The sequence below is a fragment of the Homo sapiens genome, chromosome 11, assembly GCF_000001405.40.
Source record: "Homo sapiens chromosome 11, GRCh38.p14 Primary Assembly".
Taxonomy (NCBI): domain Eukaryota; kingdom Metazoa; phylum Chordata; class Mammalia; order Primates; family Hominidae; genus Homo; species Homo sapiens.
The window spans coordinates 61,496,248-61,520,139 of record NC_000011.10 but is presented as its reverse complement, the minus strand read 5'-3'; the positions used below and the strand labels follow the sequence as shown (position 1 = coordinate 61,520,139).

The window sequence follows — 23,892 nt, the reverse complement described above, 5'->3', positions numbered from 1 at the left end:
GGCGGGCAGATCACGAGGTCAGGAGTGTGAGACCAGTTTGCCCAGATCACGAGGTCAGGAGTGTGAGACCAGTTTGCCCAGATCACGAGGTCAGGAGTGTGAGACCAGTTTGCCCAACATAGTGAAACCCATCTCTACTAAAAATACAAAAATTAGCCGGGCGTGGTGGCGGGCGCCTGTAATCCCAGCTACTCGGGAGGCTGAGGCAGGAAAATCACATGAACCTGGGAGGCGGAGGTTGCAGTGAGTCGAGATCGTGCCATTACACTCTAGCCTGGGCGACAAGAGTGAGACTCGGTCTCAAAAACAAACAAACAAACAAACAAAAACACTATTTTTGAATAATTTTAGATTTACAGAAAAGTGGCAAAGATAGTAGAGAGAGTTCCCATCTACCCCTTACGCAGCCTCCCCAGTTGTTAGCGTCTCACATTTGATGGGACATTCGTCACAGCTTGAGGAACCAACATGGGCACTGCGTTGCTGTGAACTAGACTCCGGCCGTTATTTGTATTTCACCAGTCTTTCCGTTAATGTCCTCCTTCTGTCCCAGCATCCAATCCAGGACACCACATTGCATTTAATAGGCATGTCTCCCCTGTCCCCTCTGGCCCTTGACAGTTTCTCAGTCTTTCCCATTCTCTATGATCTTAACGGTCTTAAGGAATACTGGCCGGGTGTCCTATAGAAGGCCCCATGTACCTGTTTTTTCTCCAATGCTCATACTCTTAATCACCCCCAAGTCCCAAAGCTGAGGTCAGCTGGGCCAATCCTGGGGGTTCCGGAGGGATTCATGCATGCAGCCGGGTGAGGCTGCGAAGCAGGATTAGGCCGGTAGCATAGAGCTCCAAAGACCTGGATTTCAATCCCTCTGCACCACTTATAAACCCTGTGACTGTGGGTAAGTCTCTTAACTCTTCGTACCTTAGTTTCCCCATCTGAAAAATGGAGATAATCATATAATCCTACCTCACAGTTGTAGGATTTGATGATCTATGTGTATGAAGTCCCTAGCTCAGTACTCACATGTAGCAAGTGCCCAGGAGTTGGGAATGATTATAATTCAGGGGGGCTGGACATCACCCAACAGATAGGGCAGGGAAGGCCATGGAGACAAGCTGCCTCCAACCCCACCTTCCAGACCCCACTGCAAAATAGGTTGGCAGTCTAATTCCGAGAGGCCTGGCGTGCCCAGGCTTGGGGGTGTGGGGGTAGACAACCAGGAAAATAGATCAGGCTGACTGGGGGAGGGAGGAGAGCGCCTCTGTGGGGTAGGTTGTCACAGCATGTGGAGGCTGGGGGGCCACAGGCTAGGGTATCATGGTGGAGTTGGGGTGTCACCCCTGTGGGGGAAAGGGCCAGTGCCCTGGAGCCTGTGCCGATGCCATCGTCTCCCCTTTCTCCCCAGATCTACCTGTCCTGGAAGAGCGGGCCAGGGGAGGTGAAGCACTGGAAGGACATGATTGCCCGTCCCCGGCAGCCCGTGGCCCAGTGGCACCAGCTGAAGGCCTGAGTGGGGCCAAGGGAGGCCCAGGGGGCCGAGGGCCCAGGTCCCCATCATGCCCTCACCACTTTATGCACAACGCCCGGCCTGAGCCCCCTGCCATAGGGAGGGGAGGACCCTGAGGGCTCAGCCAGGGAGGGGTCCCAGGACTCAACTGGGCCCCGTTTCTAGGAAGTACCAGCCCCATCCCCCACAGTCCAGCTCCGGGGAAGGGGCTCTGGGAGGCATTTTCCTGCTTTGCCCCTTTTCTTCCTGACTTACTAATACTAAAGAAGTTGGGGGAGCTCGAGAGCCAGACGGCCAGACAGGCAGACCCCTCCAGAGGCCCGCCAGGTGGGCATGGTCCCCCATTTTCTTTAAGGCAGCACCTGGAGTGGAGAGAGGCCACTCCCTCTCCAGCCCCCGATGTGGACCCGGGGAGGGGAGGCTGAGGCGTTTGGCCCCGGCCTGGCCAGGAGAGGCCCATCCCCAGGGCAGTTTCAGGTGCCGGCTGGGCCCTGAATGTCGAGGATAGTATATAGCCCGCTCCTGGGTCCTGGAGCTGTGGCCCTTTGTACTCGTGTTGTGTCCATTGTGTGTGTGCGTGGGGACAGAGGCCTGGAAATGCGGAGGACTATACAGAGAAGGCAGGTTTTGTGAAGGCCAGGCAGGGTTGGAGGCCGGGGGTGTGAGAGGAGAGGCCCATAGGGCTGAGTGGGGTCGGGTGAGGCAGAGGTCAGAAACAGAAGAGCTGCAGTTGCTGGAGCTGGGCTGAGAACTGGGCTGCCTCCTGCCATCCCCCCGTCTCCTCCCCTTCTCCCCTTGGTGCCCCCCTCTGCTCAGAATCTGAAGTAGTTCCCTCCTCAGCAATTTCATCTCTTGAACACTGACTCACACCTTTTAGGCACCTACTGTGTGCATAGCATTCCACCAGGACTCATCTCCCTTCCTTCTCAGGGGGTCCCGAGCCCCGACTAGCTTTGCCCTAACTCCTTCATCAAAAGACCCCCCGCCAGCTTCCCACACCTCATACGCAGCCACATCTGCCCTATTCTCCATGCTTTCCAGCTTGCCTGCCCTTCCTCATCTCTCCCTGCCTGTGCAGACCTCCACCCTTCTTTCCTCCACCCCTCCATCCCCCAATGCTTGTAGACCTTCCATTCATTCCGTCTCATCGTGCGTGGTCTCTGATCGTCCATCACCTGACCTTCTCCAGGACTGTCTTCTCACCCTTCCCCACTCCCTGGTCCCCGGGAGCAGCTCCTTCTGCCCGACTCACTCACAGTGCAGGGAAAGGAGGCAGGGAAAAGACCAGGATTCTGTGAGTTCTGAGGTTGCCACACACAAAGAAGCTGTGGTTTCTCTGCCTCGGCCACTGATGAGACTAAAACTGGCTTCCCCTTGGAGACGGCAGATTTCAGGCTGATCCCTGCTTAAGCCCTCTCATCCCCACGCTGGTCCTGGTATTGATACAAGACCCAGCTGGTGACAAAGCCTCCAATCCTGGGGGTCCACGAGCCTGGGCCTGACATTCCCAGAACTACCGCCAGGTGGCGCCAGGCCCCCACAGTCTGTGGCCGTGGTCTTAGCCCCCAGTTCCACTCTGGATGGGCCTGTGACACCCCAAAGAGAAGAAGGGGACTCTGGATAGGGTCCCCACATCCAGGGCGTGGGGAGACCATTGGCATTTGGGAACCATTTTCCTTCGAACGGCTTCCCCTTGAGCTGAGCATTCTGCTTGCTGCAGTAGACGGGTCGCCTTTTGCCCATACCGAAATTTTCTGAAATTAAATCGCACACCCCCACCATTTCCTCTCCCTGGGATCTGGAGGAACATCATACATAGTAGGTGAATCGTTTTGTAGAGTGAAGAATGCTAATGTAAAGCAAATAGTCACCCACGTTCCTTGTAAATCCAAATGTTTCTATATTGTAGCTTTGCTTAAAATGGGGTCGGCCCCAACTGCATCCTCCTCTTTGGCGGGCTGGGGAGCGGCCCCCAGCCGGGACGGGAGGGCAGCGACCCCGAGGCCTCGTGGACGTGGGAGAGAGTGTGGTGGGAAGTCTTGAGCGGAGGAGGGGATCTGCCCTTCTCCACTCCTCTCTTGGATCCGCCTCGGTTTCCTGTCCCCCCACCACCCGCCTGCCCCGCGGAAGACCGCCCAGTGAGCCAGCCCCCACCTTCCAGGCGCCTTCGCCCTGGGGATCCAACCAACTTGTATCGAGTGGGCGGGGCAACGGCTCCCCATTTTTCCCGAGCCCCGCCCACAGAGCTCTTAGCCAATCCTATGCAGAGAGCATCTCCTGGCAGGGGTCTCTTCCCAACCAGACCCCACCCAGGCACATTAGCGACCAGGCTTGGGCTTCCCCAGCGCCCCACCACCACCACGTGCAGGTGGAGCTCTGGGATGCTATGTTGGGGCGGCAAGCGGTGGGCCGAGGGCCGGGTAGGCTAGCACGGGAGGTAAGGGTGGTATGGGATGGGGCGGGGGCGGTCTAGGGCAATAGGAGAGCAGAGAATGGGGGAACTTGAGGGTGGGGGGAGGGCACCGGAGCCTTGCCACCATCCCAGGACTTTGGGCAAGTCACCCGCACTCCCTGGGCCTCGGTTTCCCCATCTGTAAAATGATGGTAATAATACTTCACCTACCTCATAGGGGAGGTTGTGAGGCCACCATCACCTGACCTGGGGGTCAAGGCAGGAGGACTCCGAAGGTGCTACCCGTGAGCAAAGTGTAATTACCGAATCCTGACTGCAAGGCCCACCTGCCCCTCCCCCACAGAGCCTCCAGAGCTAGCTGAGGCCAACGCAGGCCCATCCGTCTCTTCACTCTGTCGCAGGCCCTTTCATGGGCTTCGTCTGCCATCTTTGTGGGTGCCCTAGACTTAGTCCTTATCTTGTCCTGGTTTCCTTTCTTGTGACCATCTCCCCATGAAAGTGCTGTACAAATTCCACCCGCCCCAGGACCCCCGCACCTGCCCTCTGGCACCAGATGCCAGGGAAGGGACAGAGGAAAACAGCCACAAACAAGCCAGGGGGGCTCCCCGGAGCCCCAGGGGTGGGGATTGGTGGCCACTGTTTGTATGTTCTTGAGTGCAAGTGTTTTATAAAAAATAAAACAAAAACCCACCATCACAAAAAAAAAAATTTTGCAGCGAAGAGAAATGAAGAAAAACTGAAGAAAAAAAAAAAACAGGAAAAAAAGAACCATACAAAATTTTTCCACCACACATACCCTCTAAGCCAGCAAGATTTCCTCTTTGCAAAATCATATTTTTGTGGGAATGGGCCCTGCTTTTTGTGGCAAGGCCTGTTCTGATTAATAAAGGATCGTGAAAAAGTAGGGCCTTGGCTGTTTCCTCCGTGGGTCCCAGCCCTCCCTCACCTCCCTGGGGGCAGAGGCAGTGGGGTGAAGGGGATGGGGGCCCCGGGGCTGAGCCTCCCCTCAGTGTGTCACCTTTGGGATTTGACTTCACTGGTGACCAGGCCCTTCCCGAGTGTCCAGCCATCCTCAGATCTCTATAGAATATGATCCCACTGGCTTCCCAGAAAGCAGAGAGGCAGCTACATCTCCCAGATCAGGCCTGACACAAGGCTTTTTGGGAGTAGAGTCCTCTCTAGGCCTCAGGGGTGCCCTCCAGGGTCACCCAGCCTGACGTCCCCTCCCTCAGTTCCCAGAGGACACTTGCCACCCTCCAAGGCAGCTCAGACAAACCAAAGGGGGACGCTCCAGCTTTCCCACCACCATCCATGGGGCCACTGTAGTTTCAGGCCAGCGCCTCCTTCCTGGTCCCTGAGGTGGGAAAAGGAAAGACAATGAGCTCTGTGTCTGTTGGCTGGACCTGCGGCTTCTCTCAGCCCTCTTCTAGTTTCATTCTTTAGGATTAGAAAAGTCTCTTCCACTCAATAGAACAGGTTCCAGCCTGAGGTGTGGGAAGCTGGGTTGTAATCCCTTCTGCAGCCTCTGTGGCCCTGGGCAAGCTCTTTCCTTCCACCTGTTTCTTCTGGCCACAACAAAGCAATAACCATCCCCATCCCCTGCCCTTTCTTCCCCACCCAGCCCAGGGGAAGCTGAGCCCCCGCAGCTCTCAGGGTACTTCAGAAGGAAGGTGCTACATCTGGTTCAGACACAGGCACAAAAGGAACGAGCACATCCCCATTGTCATGTGTCCACCTGCTGGCCCCTGCCCCCACCAGGAGTGAAGCGGGCCATCCCATCCGCCCTCTGCTCCCAGCACTTGGGGCCAGCAGCTGCCTCCCGGAGCTGCACTAAGTACCCCATCCAAAGCTGTCTGTCCCTCATTTCCCACAACCTGGTTTAGATATCACTTCTGATCTCTGTTCCAGAGATCAGAGGAAGCCCCGGGGTCAGGTAAGTAGCCTCAGGGGCTCCCTTGGCCAGAGCTTCTGTTCAGGCGCTCTCCATGAAAGCAGCCCTGGAAAACTGAGCCTGAAGTCAGAGACAGCTCAGGCCCAGCACAGGGGGCAGTCCCTTGCCACTGGCTCGGGCCCTTCCCTGGACTTTTTGCCTTCCTCCATTTTTGCTTCTCTGGGTCTGTCTTCGTCCATGCCTGCTCTGAGATGCTCCCCCACCCCTCCCTGTACCTGGGACCACCGCCCTCTGGTGTTTTCTTTCTCCTGTGAGTCCCCCCCTGGATACTGCTGCTTTCTGGAAGGCTGTCCTGGGTTACGTCCTGCGCTCCTCTCCCTCCCACGCAAAGACAACCAGAAGGACAAGCCTTGAGCACGCCGATGCCCCAGCTCGTGGCTCCCCAGACCATCTGTTTCCCGTGAAGACGCCCCGCTCCCCGTGTCTGTGTCCTGCGTGTATGTGTCGTGTCTTGTGTAGATTGTGAGCCCCCTGGGCAGGGATCCCTGTCTGCATACATGTTCCATGTGGCACGCCCAGGTGTGCTAATAAACGTTCATCTTCAGAACAAGATCGCCAGGTGTCTTGGGGAAGCTTTGGGACAGATGGCTGAGTAAGCCAGTGTGGTGGCATGGGAGGCAGGGAGGGACTTCTGGGTAGGGCCCCCAGCTCCAAGAACCTGTTCTCCCACTTTCCTGAGTCCCATGAGGGTGGGTGGGAAGGGGGTGAGGAATGGCATTCACAAGGTTAGAAAAGGCTCCAGGCCTGGGTCTCTGCTGCCACACTGGCCAGCAGGGCTGCTTGCCTGGAGGCTGGTGGGGGCGGGGGCCTCAAGAACAGGCGCAGTTCTCAGCCATTCCATTCCACTCACAGACCTGACTGCCAGCCAGGGACCAAGCAGCTCTTCTGTGACACAGTGAGCACTGGGTTGGGAGTCCTCACACCGCTTACGGGTGAGTCACTCGCGCCCACACCCCCCCCAACCCTGTTTCTTGCCCTGCCGCCTCCTCTGCCTTTCCCTCCACTTGGTTCCCACAGTAGGAAGGAAGCTTCTTGCTCTGACCACCAGCGCCCTTGGCCTCTGCCCCTGAATCCCTGGTACAAACATGACTCTTGCAGAACTTCCCTGCCCTATTCCCCCATGGCCTGCCCACCTCTGACTGCCCCAGGACGATGTGGGGAACCGCAGAGGCAGCCCATCCATCCCGTCCCATTGTTACAAGCGTCCCTTCCAGTCTCCCCTGCCCCCTACTCCCCAGAGGCCAAGTGGGAATCACAGGAAGTTGTGGGTGGGGGAATGCTAGGACTCCTAATACAGTGCTATCTCCATCACCGAGGGGAGCCGTGACACCCAGTTTTCCCTGGCAGTTAGCTCCCTCCCTACTCACATGGAGACAGAGACCCTCAATCGTGCTCTGTAGCATCAGCACCCAATTTAGCCAAACTCAAACTTTCCAGAAGGGACTGGCTTCTGAGGGTGGAGAGCAAGTGAGTAGCAGGGCCAGGGACAGAGCCCATTCCCATTCCCTGGGGGAGCGCCTGCTCAGCTGGCAAGCAGTCATGGCTGCGGGTGCCACGTTTGACAAAGCAAAAGGGTAAGGCCCTGAGTGCCTCAGGATGGCCCGGGGGACTCATTGCCAGGACTTTGCCCCAACCTAGAGTCCTCAGGTGAGAGCAGCAGGGGAGGAGGTACAGGGAAACAGATCAGACAGAGGGAGGAGACCTGAGCTCACTAATGACAGCAGTTATTGCAGGTGACCATGGCTGCCTCTGCACCCTGCTGCTTCTGTGTCTAAGATTTGCATGAAAGGAAGGTAAACAAACCCCTTGCATGAAGTATTGAGCTGCAGCATCAGATCTAAATAAACCCAATTCCTTGGGCCAGGTGCAGTGGCTCACGCCTGTAATTCCGGCACTTTGGGAGGCCGAGACAGGCAGATCACCTGAGGTCAGGAGTTCGAGACCAGCCTGGCCAACATGGTGAAACCCCGTCTCTACTAAAAATACAAAAAAATCAGCCGGGCGTGGTGGTGCACACCTGTAATCCCAGCTACTCAGGAGACTGAGACAGGAGAACTGCTTGAACCTGGGAAACTGAGGTTGCAGTGAGCCAAGATCATGCTGCTGCATTCCAGCCTGGGCAACAGAGAGAGACTCCATCTTGGAAAATAAAATAAAAGTAAAGTAAATAAATAAATAAACCCAACTCTTCGTGTACAGACGAAGAAGCTAAGGCCCAGGGGGGTCGTGACTTGCTCAAGATCACTTGGTCAATAGCAGAACCAGGCCTGCAACCCCTGCCTTCTGATTGTAGGCCCAGGGGTATTTTCCCTATGCTGTGATACAAGTGGCAGGTCAAGAGGAGAGTCCCCAGTCAGCTGCAGCTCCTACCCCACCTGAGTGATCTTCTCTCAAATTACTTTCTCCAAGTTTCCAGACCCCTGAAAGGCCCACTGGCCCTGATGGAACCCCAACAGGGGGAACTCTGGGAGGGACAAGGTCTACAGCAGCCAGGCCCCAGACCCTCTTCCTCCTTGGGAAGGTGGCAGTCTCCAATCTTCCCCACCCACCACCTCTTTCTGTCCGTTCAAGGCCTTCACTCTCATTTGCAAGCTGACAGCCCCAGACCCATGCCCAGCCTCCTCCTTAGCCAGGGCCCAGCCCAGTGTGCCAGCAGAGCTGCTGGGCAGGGCCTGACCTTCTGGCCCCATATGCCCCTGTTGCCATGGTGATGAAGATCTGGCAGGATCTTCTCCGGGGAGATGGGCCTCCAGGCTTGGGTTTTACAACTTTCTTCCTTTCTTTAAATCGTTAATTTATTATTTTCCTGAACAACAAGGGGAGAAAGAAATGCCAAAACTGAGCAAAAAGAGACTAAGAAGGAGAGAGACAGAAAGAGGAAAATAGAGCGAGAGAGACGGAGGGAGGCGAGTCTAGAGTCATGGAGGGGGTGGAGGGGCAGTGCCAGTGAAAGAGTAGGGAACCATCGGCCCAGCTCGAGGGTGACTCAAAAACATACAAAATCTTCTGCAGAATTAAGCTGCGGGATTCCGCAAGACAGGAGAGCAGCCTCGAGGGACAAAAGCCACTTCTGACGACAGCACTTGTTCCCCAGACAGACAGCACACCACAGTTGGCAGGGTCGGTCTGACATGGAGCGGGGAGCACGTGGGGCGGGGGCAGTGCCAGAGGGAGCCCAGGGTCCCCACAGCAGTGGGTTCCGGTGCTCCCAGGGATTATAAATAAACAGGCACATGGGAAATGCACATTCTTTCTCCAAGAAATATAATTTACGTTTACAGCCAGTTGTTTTTTCTTCTCTCTAAAGAAAACATTACCATGTGGGGCCGCTGCCCCAACAGTGTCCCTGAGTGTCCTTGGCCCTGGCTCCCTCGTCCCGTTATTGCTTGGATGAGGAAGATCTGGCTCTGGGAATTGCAGAGCAAGGCCCCTCTCCTCACCCCCTCGGGGCTGTCCCTGGTGACGGAGTGGAGGTACAGAGTGCCAGTCCCATGCCAGCCACCCTGGCTGTGCCCATTTAAGGGAAAGGAGAGTGCAGGCCGTGGGAGAGGCGCTGAGCAGCCTCCCAGAGCAGAGAGCCCCTCTCTGCGGTGCAGGAGGCCCTGGAGGCACGGTGGCTTCTTTTCAAACTTGACAGCTGGAAGGCTCAGGCTATGGGGTGGGGAGTGGAGGGGGAGCTCTCTCTTCCCAGCAAGGTTCCAGGCACATGCTGGGAGGCTGGGAGAAGAGAACAGAATAGGGTGGGGGTGACCCCCTGCCTTCTGTGCCCCATACCAATCTCAGGGGGCCGAGGAGGGAGGTATGTACGATCAGCCCTGATGGAGGGGTGAGGGCAGCTTCGGTGTTGGGGCCCCCATCTATTTCCCACTTCTGTCCCGGGCACCAGCCCCACTCCAAGCCCCTGCTCCTGGGCCAGGCCCTCCTCGCAAGGGCAGTCCTGCCCCACACAGGCACGCAGTCCATCCCAGAGGTAGCGGCTCCTGTCCTAGAAAGGGTGGGCCTAGGAGACCCAAACCCCAGAAAGAGGGAGGGTGTTGGGTGCCCTGCATCCAGACTCAGGGAGACGTGACAATTCTGTGGCCCTCAGAGACCCTGGTTCCAGGAGGAAGCTGGTGCCTCTGTTATCAGTGGCTCCATCGGGGACTGGACCCAGCCCAGACTTCTTGGTCTGACAATTGCCCACAGATCAGCCAGGGTATAGTCAGTCCTCTTACTACCTAGGAGTGTCTGAAGATGAGCCCCAGCCCTGCCTGTGCCCGGCAACTCGCCAAAAGTAGCCGTTCCATTGACCTAAGTAGGGACCCACCAGTCCCGCAGGCCTAACCAGCCAAAGCTTCCTAGAGCCCCTCCTCTCAGAGTGGCTGAAGCCCATCAGCCAGAACATAGGCTCAGGTGCCCAGTCCTGGAGCGGCTTCCAGGGCGCGGAAGCTGCCCCCGGGGGCGCCCAGAGCCCGGGAACCAGCGCCGCCTATGAGCAGGTCTTCCTCCTCCTCATCCTCAAAGGCCCGCGCTGGGCGCCGGGGCGGAGGCCGGGGCGTGGGCTCGTCGCGCTCCGCCATGCGCTCGACGGCGCCCTCGCCCACGAGGAACACGGTGTCCGCGACGCGCGGGGGCCCGGTGACGGGGTTGTGGTCGTAGGAGAAGACGCGCAGCGCGCGCAGCGGGTGCAGGTCGGGGAAGCCGCCCAGGCGGTTGCGGTCGAGGTCGAGGATGTGCAGGCGGCCCATGCGCAGCAGCGCGGGCGGGAACTCCTCGAAGCGGTTGCCGTAGAGCCAGAGGCCGCGCAAGCCCGTCATGCGCGGCAGCTCGGCCGGCAGCGCGCGCAGCCGGTTGTCGCCCATCTGGAGCGACTGCAGCGCCACCAGGCGCAGCAGCGGCCGCGGGAAGCGCCGCAAGAAGTTGCCCTCGATCCAGAGGCAGCGCAGGCTCTGCAACTGCGCGAAGTCGGCGGGCAGCGCCAGCAGCCGGTTGCCGCCCAGATAGAGGCGCGTGAGGCGCGGCAGGCGGCACAGGCCGTCAGGCAGTCGCTCGAGCTTGTTGAAGTCCAGCGCCAGGATGCGCAGCTCGCGCAGCTCCTCGATCTCCTCCGGCAGCTCGCGCAGCCCCGTGCCGCTCACATACAGCTTCTGCAGGCGGCTCAGCGCGCACACTGCGCTGGGCAGCCGCCGCAACCGCCGCCCGCTCAGCTCCAGCTGCTGGTCGCCGCTGCGCAGCTGCTCCTCTGCGTCCGACGGCAGCTCATCCGGCGTGGACTCGGCGATGCCCATGGTCACGGGCCCCGGCCGGGGCCGCCGCCACTGCCACCGCCAGGCATCGCCCCGCCCCGGCCGCCCCCCAGCCGCCCCGACGGTGCCGGAGCCGCGCCGGCCCCCGGGCCCCCCGCCCCGGCCTTCCCCCGCGCCGGGAGGGGGGCCGTGCGGGGCCGGGAGGAGGCACCCACTTGGGGCACCGCCGCCGCGCGCCGCGCTCCACCGCCCGCCCTCGGGCCTCCCCCGTTGCCTCCGCCGGAGGCCGACTGGCTAGGGTTCGCGCTGACTCGCAGCTTAGCGACCCGTCGCCCTGGCAACCCCGACGCGCGTGCGGCTGCCAATGAGGCGGAGGGAGGGCGGGGCGGGGCGGGGCCAAGGCGCCACCCTAGTGGGGTCCCAGCGCCGGAGCCCGCCCCCTACCTGCCCATCCAGCCCACCGCGGAGCAAGCACAAGCCGAGAGATTCCCCGCCCCGGCCAAGCCTGGCACTGAGACCCGACGCCCGACGCTGTTTGGTGTGCGGTTGTGTGCGCCCCAGAGCCGCGGGTCCAAGAAGGCGAAGGAAACGCTGGCGGTGGATCAAAGACTCTGGACTAGAGGCTCACAAGGAGGGGCTGAGGGGCGCGGTCACTGCGAGCCATTCACGTCCAGCGGCGTGCGGCCGGCCTACCTGCTGGGATCACTTCAGTGTAGTAACTCGAAACAGTGTTACTGTCCGGCCCTTTTCACATCTGCTGGTTTTACCGGGCCCCAGGGCTTGGCTCCGCCCCGCCTAATTGCCCTACAGCTTCCTCATTGCTACACTCACACCCCTCTCTCCTGCCAGGATCCCTCCACCGACGCTCAAAGTCTGTGTGTGGCTGCGGTGGACAGAGGACTGGGACACGTGAACGCCTTTGAGCCACCAATCATGGCCACTCTCATTCCATGACTCTTCTTCCTTCGCCTGCTACCACCAGCAGCAGTTCCCCCCTGCCTTCTCCCCCCACCTCCCATCCGGAGCCCTCCTGCGGGAGCTCCTGGCAGAAAAGCACTGGCTGTCACTGGCTTCGAGCCCACGTGTGCCCAGCACTATGCTGAAAGCATTGCGTTGAGTCCTTGGCACAGCCTATGAGGTAGACACCCTCATCACCCCGATTTTAAAGATGGAGAAACTGAGGGTCAAAGAGACATGACTTGAGCTGGGTCAGTCTGAGCTGAGTGAAGTGCCCAAGGTCACCCAGCTGATGAGCAGCTGGATTCGAAGCCAGGTAGTGTGACTCCAGAGCCTGTGTTCCTAACCATAAACCATACCGATAGATGGAAACAAGGTTCACTCCACCTCCAGCAATGAATTTTCTCACAACAGAGCCTCTGATTCTCTGGACAAAGCTACAAAGACAGCACTATAATCCCACATGAAAGATGAGAGAAGTGGCCTCGCGGGGATTAGGCACCCTGCTTACGGTCACACAATGCATAGAGGTTGCAGCCCGGGAGCCAAATTTTCGGGCTCCAAGCCTCCTGCCTCCTGCCTTCTCTTGAACCCGGCTGGTGTGACCCATGTAACTGGCTGAGTGGACTGACTTCAGGAGAGCACGCTGCCCTTTGGCCCACCCCCATTGCCATCCCCACTGCAGGGGAAGGGGGATGGAAGACAGCCCAAGGGCAGAGAGCAGTTGCCAATGCAACGGGAGGAAGGGAACCATCCCCACTGGAAAGTAAGCTGCCCAGCCAGGGAGGTTTGGGCATCTCCTTCCCTGCTGGCACAGGCTCTAGAGCATACAGTAGACATTCCATGCAAATTTTTATTTATTTATTTATTTATTTATTTATTTATTTATTTATTTAGAGACAGAGTTTTGCTCTTGTTGCATAGGTTGGAGTGCAATGGCGTGATCTTGGCTCACTGCAACCTCCGCCTCGCCTCCTGGGTTCAAGCGATTCTCTTGCCTCAGCCTCCCAAGTAGCTGAGATTACAGGTGCCCACCACCACGCCCAGCTAATTTTTGTATTTTAGAAGAGACAGGGGTTCACCATGTTGGTCAGGCTGGTCTCGAACTCCTGATCTCAGGTGATCCACCTGCCTCAGCCTCCCAAAGTGCTGGAATTATAGGCATGAGCCACTGCGCCTTGCTGAAAAAAACTTAACAAAAAAAGTGGAGGCAAACATTGCATACAGTGAAATGCATAGATCGTAAGTGTCTTCTTGGATGCGTTTTGACAAATGTACACACCCCTGTCCCATTTCCATCAACCCAAGAGTTCTCTCAAGCCTCTTGCGGTCAATCCCCACCTCACAGAGGCAACTATGATCCTGACCTCTATCCTTATGGATCAGTTTTCCCTGTTCTTGAATTTCACACAAATGAAATTATTCAGCACATGCTTTTTTTCAGATAATATATATTTGTTGGATACATGAATGAAAGGACAGAGCAATAGCAATTCTAATATGGCAAGAGGTGTTAGGGGGCGGACAGATGATGGGGGGACACAGAGGCAGATGTTGCTCTGAGCCACGAACCAGCCATGCACCCCCATCCTGGGAGAGACTGGCAAAACGAAAGCAGGAATCCAGGCCAAGGTAGAGGACCCAGGTGGAACCCAGACACCAGACCTAGGGTATAGGAGTCTCAGCCCCAACCGGAGGGGCTTCAGGCTCCTCCCAGATGTCACTTAAGTTCCAATCCAGCTCTCTCCCTTCTACTCATTCGGGAGGACTTCTTGGAAGAGGTAAGTCTCTCAGAGACCAGAAAGGTAGGGAATACCCAGCCAGGCTAATGGGATGAGGATGAGTCCCTCCCCCCACCCCCAAGCAGTTTGAGGGAACATTGGCTGTGGAGGAGGAGGCTCAGCAGCCCAGCCTCGCCACATGCTCAGGCTGGCACCCAGCGCCAGGCTGCCCTCTTGGGCTCCATCAGCACAGGCAGCACCACATGAGCCCACATGAGCCTCTCCACCCCGGCACCAGCCTGGCAGAGCTTCCTGGGGCCGAGAGCATGGAGGACCAGCCCTCTTCTTTCTCAGAGTCTTTTTCTTGCTCTCGGCAGATCCTGTACCTTCACCTCCCACCAGGCCCTTCTCAGTGGGTAAAGGTAAAATGTGCTGGCGTTCCAGGCCCACGCAGGCTGGCAGTGGGGCAATCATCATGATGAATCACGCTGGCACTGCAGGCACCCGGTCCTTGTTGAGGCGTAACTAATGAATTAGCTTCACCCCCAGCACGGGGCCTCTCAGCCTTTCCCCACTTCCCAGGAAGGCAGGAAACTGAGACCTGGGAGGGGGAAGCAGGGGAGGAGAGAGGACTCTGTCAGCTCCAGGCATGGGTCCCAGACCCTGGCCAGCCCCTCTGCCCCCACACACACTGCAAAAACACCCAAAGTGCAGGTCCCCCAGGGCCCCAGAAACTGCCTCTCTGTTACTAATCATGAGCTATAACTATTAGTGCCCACCCCCAACTCTGTATTTTTTAAAGGATTTCTTAAAATATAGGAAAAGTGTGGCGCTGTGATAAACACCCCCATGCCCAGTACCCAGCATTGACAATTGTTCACATTTCATCAAACTTGCTTTAAACCTATTTTCTTTTAAATAAAAGGAAGAAAACGGCACACGTAATATACAAGTCTCCTTTGTCTCCCCTCCAATGTCCCCATAGGCACTACCGCCCCCTCCACACTGACCCTGCCAAAGTCCCCTCTGGATTCCCCTCCCTGCCTTGGGGCCAGGACCCCCCTGGCTGCTGAATAAGATGATGGGATCTTAGCATCCTAGGTTCTTAGAAAACAAGGATTCAAACCTATTAGAGCCAACTATACGATGTCAGAGCTGGAAGGGTGCTTAGCGCCTCTGGGAGGTCACAGGCTCTCTTCAATGTCTGCAAGAAGGTAGGGACCCTTGTTCCAGAAAAATGCATGGAGGCAGAGACTCACCCAATGATGTACGCAATTCCCAGGGGTTCATGGTCTCTTGGGTGTCTAGGCCAACCCATTCATTTGGCAAAAAAGGAAAGCGATGATGTCCTCACCTCATGGCCCACTCCCCTTTCCTGCATCAGCCAGAACTTCAGTTCCTGCCATCTTTCAGGTATTCATTCAACAAACCTTAAGCACCTACTTCTATGCCTAGGCACTGGGGATTACTATGAATGTAAACATAATAGACAAACCCCCTGCCTTTGTGGAACTTATATTCATGCGAGTGGAGATCATCAACAAAACACGTGTCAGGTCATGATCAGGCTACGGAAGAAATAAAGCAGGGAAAAGAAAGGAGGAGGACTGGCCGGGCATGTTGGCTCACACCTGTAATTTCAGTACTTTGGGAGGCCAAGGTAGGTGGATCACTTGAAGCAAGGACTTCAGGACTAACCTGGCCAACATGGTGAAAGTCCATCTCTATTAATAAAAAAATTTTAATTTTAATTTTAATTTTAAAAAAAGAGAGAGGAGGACTGAGAAATGTGTGGGGGGTGGGGAGGGGCTGTCCTTTAAAACTGAGTGGCTAAGGCCGGGCACGATGGCTCATGCCTGTAATCCTAGCACTTTGGGAGGCCGAGGCGGGCAGATCACCTGAGGTCAGGGGGTCGAGGCCAGCCTGACCAACATGGTGAAACTCTGTCTCTACTAAAAGTACAAAAATTAGCCAGGGTGGTGGTGGGTGCCTGTAATCCCAGCTACTTGGGAGGCTGAGGCAGGAGAATTGCTTGAACCCGGGAGGCAGAGGTTGCAGTGAGCTGAGATTGCCCGTTGCACTCCAGCCTGGGCAACAGATCTGGACTCTGTCTAAAAAAAAAAAACAAAAAAACATCTGAGTGGCCAAAGGAGGTCTCATTGAGACCATGGCATTGAGCAAAGATGGCAGGGTACACTCCTGGCAGTGGAGATGGCAGTGCCAAGCCCCTAGGGCAAGAGTATGCCTGGGACTTTGGGAGCAGCAAGGGGCCCAGCCCAGGGAGCAAGGGGAAGCATGGTGGTCCAGGAGATCAGAGACAGAAAGTAAGGACTGGGCAGGCCGAGGAGGGCCCCTGTCCTTCATGAGGACTTTGGCTTTGACTCTAGGTGACAGGTCATCCGGGAATTTTGCACAGAGGACACATGTTTTAACAGGATCCCTTTGGCTATGGCTGCAGGATATGGGGGGGTATGTGTGTGTGTGTGCACGCACACGTGTGTGCATGCGTGTACGTGTGTGCGTGCATGCGTGCATGCATGTGTATGTGTGTGTGTTGGGGAAAGGGTTTTGTGCAACTTTAACCTCTCTCCTCTTGGTTCTCTCCCACAGGATAATGCTAGCTGTCGTTTACTCAGCACATACAGGTTGTCAAATTTATTCTTCACAACAGCTCTGCCGAGCAGGTACTATACTCTCCACCACCCTCTGGCTCTACAGATGAAGAAACAGATTAGATTCAGAGAGGTTAAGTAGTTTGAGTTTCAGTGTGGTTAAACAGCCACTGCCAAGCTACAAGGTCACACAGCCGGTAAGGGGCGGAGCCAGGATTCAAACCCAGTCCATCTTATTGCAAAGCCCGGGCTTTGTCGACGATGTCTCATTGACTCTGTGGTCTAGGAGAAATTAGAGAAACCACCCTGGGTGCTCAAACGCTCACCTCCATCCTGCAAACAGCAAAAATATTTCTAGGGGTGCCCTGCTTGGAGGTTTTGATGTTGTCAGAGAGGACAAGAGTGGCTATGAGCCACACCACTTCCCCTTTCCCATCCCAGGCCCCAGGGCTCATATGTTTGCCTAACTAGGGGGTATCCTGAAATCCACAGGGCAAGCCTAGGAACCCCAAATCAGGTCCCACAAGACAGAACAAAGAGGTCCCCAGGTCCTGGGTCATCCTAGGCCTGTGATCTGGGCTCAGGGCTTATATGATACCAAATTCCAGGCAGTCTCTGGCCCACCGTTAGACTAGAGCCCATCAGTGATAGCCAAACTCACCAGGCTGGCTCAGCCACTGCCAACCTACTCCTCCCATCCTGCCTAAGAAACCAGAGCCCAGGCGTGGCCTGGGGATCATGTTTACCTGGAACCCTAGCTCTGTGAGTTACCTGCCTGATCTGTTGAAAGCTGAGAGTCCTCCCAGGTCCCCCTCAGAGACACCAGAGCTGGAGCAACAGAGGCCACAGGAGTGTGAGGAGGGGGAGAAGCTGACTGGTTCCCAAGGCCACATTCCAGAATGTTGTGGATGGAACTCTGACCACCCCAGTGGGTTCTGTTAGGCCATCAAGCTACAAAGTGGACTTGATGACTCCTTCCTCCTGGGAGGAATGCTGGGGTCATGGCTGGCAGTCGCTCTTTATGTTAATACCTTCTTGGATCTGTGGCCAAATGCAAATCAGATCATCTGCTCCAAGAATACAGATCCAGGTCCCAACCAAGACTACCAAGGACTTGTCTGGCCTGGTCCCCCTGGGGCAGAGGCTACTGAGAGTGACCAACTTCTGTTTTTTCCCCCTCTTCTTCCTGAGCCCTCAGTAAAACTACTTTTCCTAGCTGAGAGGGTAAGACCCTGGGATGACTGCTGGGCTAATGGATGTGGGCAGAAGTGAAACATACCACATGAATGCACAATCCTCCATGCTCCATTTATCTACTGTGATGTTAAAGATGGAAAGGATCCTGGATCCCAGAGTCACCACTTGGAGATGAGCTAACCTGAAGAGCTTCTTTTCACCCCAGGACCTTTGGACATGCCAGTCCCTCTGCTTGGAATTCTCTTCTTCCCACTCTGCTTGGTTCACACTACTCATCCTTAAGGTCTCAGCTGAAACCTCCTGATATGGTTTGGATGTTTGTCCCCTTCAAATCTCATGTTGAAATGTAATCCCTGGCTGGGCGCGGTGGTTCACGTCTGTAATTCCAGCACTATGGGATGCCAAGGCAGGCGGATCACCTGAAGTCAGGAGTTCGAGACCAGCCTGGCCAACATGGTGAAACCCCGTCTCTACTAAAAACACAAAAATTAGCCAGGCGTGATGGTGCCCACTTGTAATCCCAGCTACTCGGGAGGCTGAGGCAGGAGAATTGCTTGAACCCGGGAGGTGGAGGTTGCAGTGAGCCAAGATCACCCCATTGCACTCCATCCAGCCTGGGCAACAAGAGCAAAACTCCATCTCAAAAAAAAAGAAAAAGAAATGTAACGGCCAATGTGGGTCATGGAGCCTAGTGGAGGTATTGGGGTCATGGAGGCAGATCCCTCATGAATGGCTTAGCACTGTCCCCTTGGTGATGAGTGAATTCTTGCTCAGTTCACTCAAGATCTGGTTGTTAAGGAGTCTGGGACCTTCCCTCCTATCTCTTGCTCCCTCTCTCACCAAGTGATAACGCTACTCCCTTTTACCTTCTGCCATGACTGTAAACTCCCTGAAGCCCTCACCAGATGCAGATATGGCACCATGCTTCCAGTGCAGCCTATAGAACCATGAGTCAAAATAAACAGCTTTTCTTTTCTTTTTCTTTTTTCTTTTTTTTTTTTTTTTTTGAGAAAGTTTCTCTCCTGTTGCCCAGGCTAGAGTACAATGGAGCAGTCTAGGCTCACTGCAACCTCCGCCTCCTAGGTTCAAGCAATTCTCCTGCCTCAGCCGCCTGAGTAGCTGGGACTGCAGGTGTGTGCCACCATGCCCAGCTAATTTTTGCATTTTTAGTAGAGATGGGGTTTCACCATGTTGACCAGGCTGGTCTCAAACTCCTGACCTCAGGTGATCCACCCTTCTCGGCCTTCCAGAGTGCTGGGATTACAGGAGTGAGCCAATATGCCCATCTTGTCTTTTCTTTATAAACCACCCAGCCTCAGGTATTTCTTTATAGCAACGCAAGAACAGACTAACACACTTCCCTTCCAGGATCTTTCAGAGCACGTCAAGCCCCTGTTATAGATTCTTGAGCTCCCACATTTCTCCTTCAAAGTAATTATTCCAATCACACTAAATAAATAATAACTGTGAATTATTTGCTTGAAGTCTGTTTCCGATGGACTAGGATGTGAGCTCCATGAAGACCAGATCAGAGGGCCAGGCGCGGTGGCTCACGCCTGTAATCCCAGCACTTTGGGAGGCCAAGGCGGGTGGATCATAAGGTCAGGAGTTCGAAACCAGCCTGGCCAACATGGTGAAACCCCGTCTCTACTAAAAATACAAAAATTAGTCAGCCTTGGTGGTGTGCACCTGTAATCCCAGCTACTCGGGAGGCTGAGGCAGGAGAATCGCTTGAACCCAGGAGGTGGAGGTTGCAGTGAGCTGAGATTGTGCCATTGCACTCCAGCCTGGGTGACAGAGTGAGACTCTGTCTCAAAAAAAAAGGAAAAAAAAAACAGATCAGTGCCAAGTGCCAGTGCTGTGTGGAGCCATTATTGGAACCTTCGAGCAAAGGAAAAATCAGTAACACGAATCTCATCTTCGTTTAAAATTTTGATTTTTTTTCATCATGGATTTTTGGCAATAATTTTTACTTTTACAATGATTGCATCAAACTATTACTTAATTATGGAGGTGGGTTTTTTTGGCACTTCTTTAAATATGGTGTCTAGAGCAAGTGCCTTGCCCCCCCTCACCCTAGTCTCAGCTCTGGATCGGGCAAAATCACCCTTTCTCAAAGGATTATCACAAAGCGTCAGTGACAGTGTATGGGAGCTGAATGCTGTCATTTTGAGATACTAACTTATTCCACTGTAGACAATTTCCTTATATCCATTGACTTGCATTCATATGCTAAGTTGGTTTCCTATATTCCCTGCTCTCCAGGGAAACTCAGAACAAAGAGTCAAATCCTTGGCTTTGAGTTGCAAAAGAGGCTTTGAAACCCAGAGCTGAGACTATACCCTTACAACAACCAGTTTTGAAAGAGAAATCTTTTGTGTAGGTCCAAAAAAGCTTGGCTTTGAACTTCGAGAGCAGAGAGCTGATGCCATAAGCCCTGGAGAGGGGAAGGATGCGTCATCGCAGAAGATAGCACCCAAAAGGAGATTAAGGTTCAACCGGCAGGTGGGAGAGAACGGGCAAGCAGCGCCCGGAAACACGGATGCCAGCCCAAAAACCAGTCGTCAGCCCCATCTGGGCAGAGCCTGGGGGTGGCATGAGAAAAAGTATATACCCCCAGGTATCCTGAGGGGGGCACCAGGGCAGGTGGGACCCACCTGCGCTTCCCTTACCAGGTGTGGCCTGAGGATGTAACAGGCCTCCCACAAGTCACTCTACCTGTATGGAGAGGCCTCAGTAGAGTAGACATAGAGGTGAACTCACAAGAGCAGGCATCCAGAAGTTTCCACACCTGCAAGACAGACATGGGTGTAGCCGAGAGATTAGGCTGGGGAAGTCCACATCTTTGCTAAATCCAGTTGTTACTGATAGACCAAGATACACTTTTTTTTTTTTTTTTTTTTTTGGTCACCCAGGCTAGAGAGCAATGGCGCAATCTCGGCTCACTGCAACCTCCACCTCCCGGCTTCAAGTATTCTCCTGCCTGGGCCTCCCAAGTAGCTAGGATTACAGGTGTGTGCCACCATGTCCGGCTAATTTTTGTATTTTTAGTAGAGACAGGGTTTTGCCATGTTGGCCAGGTTGGTCTCAAACTCCTGACCTTAGGTGATCCACCCGCCTCTGCCATCTGAAGTGCTGGGATTACAGGTGTGAGCCACCACGCCCGGCCCCAAGATACACTTTTGAGGTCTTGAGTATTGCTTATGAAGTCCATACTCACATATACCTGCTCTGTCTGGCTATACAAGTCATGCCATGTACAATGGAGCCGTATCTGATTCCTTTTGACACCAGGATCCTATACTGGAGGTAAGTATCTCGAGGAACAGCACTTTTGATCCATGTCCCATAAAGGGTCTTCGCAGGCCAACAGCAAACTCCCTAGGTGTGTAAAAGCACCGAGAGCACCCCGCTTACAGAAGGTACCCCACAAATGCCCTTCTTAGTGATGGTAACTCACGTGGGAAGGACATTTGATTTCTTTGGGCCTCCCAGCATCTGTAGCCCCTGGCTATGTTGGAGAATCCACCTGCCTTACAAAACAGAGCCCACTCTCCTCCCAAGGCAGCTGAAAACGCTGGGAGCTCACTTTCCCGGCATCCCTTGCAAGCGAGGTGGAAGCCTGTGACCCGGAAGTCGCCCCCAAGTACACCCACGTCAGATTCTGAATAGGAAATGAGAACTGCTGAGCAGAAGGGATCACTCAGATCCCTCCTGAGGGCGGTGTGAGGAGCGGCAGCAGGGGCTGTGTCCCAGGAGCAGCGGTGGGGAGGCCTGGGGTCTTTGTGGTCCCAGGGCCATGGGGCGATTTTCTTTGTGCTTCCTGGCTGGGTGGGCTCTAAGTTTTTTGGTTTTTTTTTTTCTTTTTCTTTTTTGAGATGGAGTTTTGCTCTTGTTGCCCAGGCTGGAGTGCAATGGCGCCATCTCGGCTCACCTCAACCTCCACCTCCTGGGTTCAAGCGATTCTCCTGCCTCAGCCTCCTGAGTAGCTGGGATTACAGGCGCCTGCTACCACGGACCCGGCTAATTTTTGTATTTTTAGTAGAGACGGGGTTTCTCCATGTTGGTCAGGCTGGCTCGGAGTCCTGATCTCAGGTGATCCGCCGGCCTCGGCCTTCCAAAGTGCTGGGAGTACAGGCGTGAGCCACCACGACCGGCCGGGCTCTAAGTTTTATTCTCAGGTCCACCTGAAGATTCTGTGAGTGACCAAGTCCTTTTAAGAAATTCCTTTTCTGCTTAAATTAGCCAGCTGTGGTTTTTGTTGCTTGTGATGAACTCTGACTGACAGCCTCCATCGTCAGACCTCATCAGCCTGTGACCACTCAGGGAGTCGCGTGATCATTCTCCCTCTGCCCCTGCTTGCACTGTCCTCCCAGAAGCCCCACACTGTCAAATGCTGTTCTGTGCTCAGGAGAAGCTTTGCCCATGTTCTTCAATGCCAGCCCACCGCCCCCAGTGCCAGAGCCCACCAGGAGAGCATGGCTCTGCGCCAAGGCCGTCTGACCGTAGGGACCACAACCTTGTCATCAGGCTCCATAGGAGGCTGCTTGGCCCAGGGGCTCATATAGCCTTTTCTGAGCACAGCGCCTTCAGCATCTCACCCAAGCTTAGGCCAGGTGAGCGACACACACACCTTCCTGCCCTGGCCCTTTAACTGGGGACTCTAAAGACACACACACACAGGCTCTCCAACCTGAATCACACTCTCACACTCATACACTCACACCCACACACATACACTCACACATATATACACTCACACACACTCATATTCACACTCATACACACTCATACACTCACTCTAACACACACACATTTACACCCAGATATACTCACACACATCTACACACACACATACACACATACACTCATACCCACACGCTCTAACACACACCCACACATCTACACACACACTCACATACACACACTAACACACTCATATACCCACACACGCAGACACACATACACAAATACACACAATCATCTTCACACACATACACACACTCATACACTCCCACTCCCACACACATACACTCACACTCACACTCACCTATATACACTCACACTCATATTCACACACATTCATATACGCACACTCTAACACACTCACACCCACACACACACATACACTCACACATATATACACACATATACTGTCTCATATTCACACTCATACACACTTATATACTCACACTAACGTATACTCACACCCACAAACACATTCACAAAATACACACGCATACACTCTCACACACTCATAATCACACACTCATACACTCATATCCCACACACTTAACACATACCCACACATATACACTTACACACATAGACACACGCATACCCACACTCATATACCCACACACACCCACACACACAGATACATACACACAAATACACACAAATCATCTTCGCACACATACATTTTCACATATACTCACACTCCAACACACACCCACACATACACATACACATACACATATACACTTACACACCGCACTTACATATACACTCATACATACAACTCTCACACTCACATTCACACACATATACTCACACTCTCAGGCACATACACTCACAGTTCCAAATTCACACTCATGCACTTACACTAATGCTCTCACACACACAGTCACATTCACACACTCTAGCACTCAAACACACACACACACTCTCACACAAGTGCACTCACCTCTTTAGCAAAAGAAATCACAGCCCATCCCTATCACTGCCTGGCTCTCCCAGGAAGTTCCCAGGCCCCATTCCTGCTCATCCGAGACCCCCAGGGAAGCGATGGGGTGGGGAGAGGCTTGGATTCAGAAGAGAGTGCGAGCGCGCTCACGGGGCCGGCACCGCATGGCTTTGGGCAGGTCGCCTCACCTCTGGTCAGGTTGACCTGCCCATCACAAAGGTCCTGGGCAGAGCCTGTCTGCAGCAGTGTGGGGAGGAAGCGAGGCATGGCGGGATGTCCCACAGGCCCTGCCAGACCCCTCTGATCTTCAACGGGGGCCCTCAGTGGGACCTGCTGGGTCTGATTCATCCTCTGCCCTTGCATACTTGCTTGTTCGGGGAACAGTTCCTCAGGAATGGGTGGCCCTCCAGATGGTCAGAGAGGAGACTGGGGAACCGATTCAGAGCCTCACACACTCCATCTGTCTGGGTGTATCATATCCCCCGTCCTCAGCCTCCCCACGCAGGGCCTCCCACCACCCCCAGGCCTCCAGTTCCCAAAGACAGATGCCTCTAACCGCCCCCACCCCCAGGAGCCCTGTGTTCCCAGCTGGACAGCTGTCAAGCCAACGAGCCGGTGGT

General features: G+C 54.9%; 2 protein-coding genes, 1 long non-coding RNA gene and 1 other non-coding gene across 21 annotated transcripts in view, besides 2 other annotated features; 1 reads left to right on the top strand and 3 right to left on the bottom strand.

The window, feature by feature from the left end:
- The window catches only part of SYT7 (synaptotagmin 7), a 74,674-nt gene extending 68,248 nt beyond the window's left edge, over positions 1 to 6,426 (top strand). For all 16 annotated transcript variants that reach the window (XM_011545343.3, XM_011545340.3, XM_011545337.3 and 13 more), the window contains one exon: positions 1,409 to 6,426. In XM_011545343.3, coding sequence (XP_011543645.1) covers positions 1,409 to 1,513 — 105 coding nt within the window. In that variant the 3' untranslated portion in view covers positions 1,514 to 6,426. The remainder of the gene's footprint in view (positions 1 to 1,408) is intronic.
- Positions 6,686 to 7,299: an enhancer, noted in NCBI's record as "H3K4me1 hESC enhancer chr11:61280313-61280926 (GRCh37/hg19 assembly coordinates)". NCBI's record gives its function as "activates a minimal SCP1, AML or CMV promoter by ChIP-STARR-seq in naive H9 embryonic stem cells {active_cell/tissue: H9 hESC(naive)}" and the evidence as "EXISTENCE:reporter gene assay evidence [ECO:0000049][PMID:30033119]".
- LRRC10B (leucine rich repeat containing 10B) lies at positions 9,122 to 11,391 on the bottom strand. Its single transcript, NM_001145077.2, has one exon. The coding sequence runs from the start codon at positions 11,139 to 11,141 to the stop codon at positions 10,263 to 10,265; it is 879 nt and encodes a 292-aa protein (NP_001138549.1). The 5' UTR covers positions 11,142 to 11,391; the 3' UTR covers positions 9,122 to 10,262.
- Positions 11,392 to 11,482: 91 nt separating this feature from the next.
- MIR4488 (microRNA 4488) lies at positions 11,483 to 11,544 on the bottom strand. The gene has a single exon (NR_039708.1). It is a non-coding gene; the product is annotated as a microRNA 4488 (primary transcript).
- A 1,946-nt stretch (positions 11,545 to 13,490) lies between these two features.
- Positions 13,491 to 23,548, bottom strand: LOC105369329 (uncharacterized). Of its 3 annotated transcripts, none has more exons than NR_188527.1 (3): positions 23,461 to 23,548; positions 20,305 to 20,377; positions 13,491 to 14,378 (listed from the first exon to the last, which is right to left on the bottom strand). It is a non-coding gene; the product is annotated as an uncharacterized LOC105369329 (long non-coding RNA). The 3 variants fall into 3 exon arrangements; NR_188529.1 differs by lacking the exon at positions 23,461 to 23,548 and adding an exon at positions 20,807 to 20,977 and having other exon boundaries at positions 20,244 to 20,377; NR_188528.1 differs by lacking the exon at positions 23,461 to 23,548 and adding an exon at positions 20,813 to 20,977.
- Positions 20,777 to 20,977: a silencer, noted in NCBI's record as "peak1286 fragment used in MPRA reporter construct". NCBI's record gives its function as "represses an SCP1 promoter by STARR-seq MPRAs in K562 erythroleukemia cells {active_cell/tissue: K562}" and the evidence as "EXISTENCE:reporter gene assay evidence [ECO:0000049][PMID:32103011]".
- Positions 23,549 to 23,892: the final 344 nt, after the last annotated feature.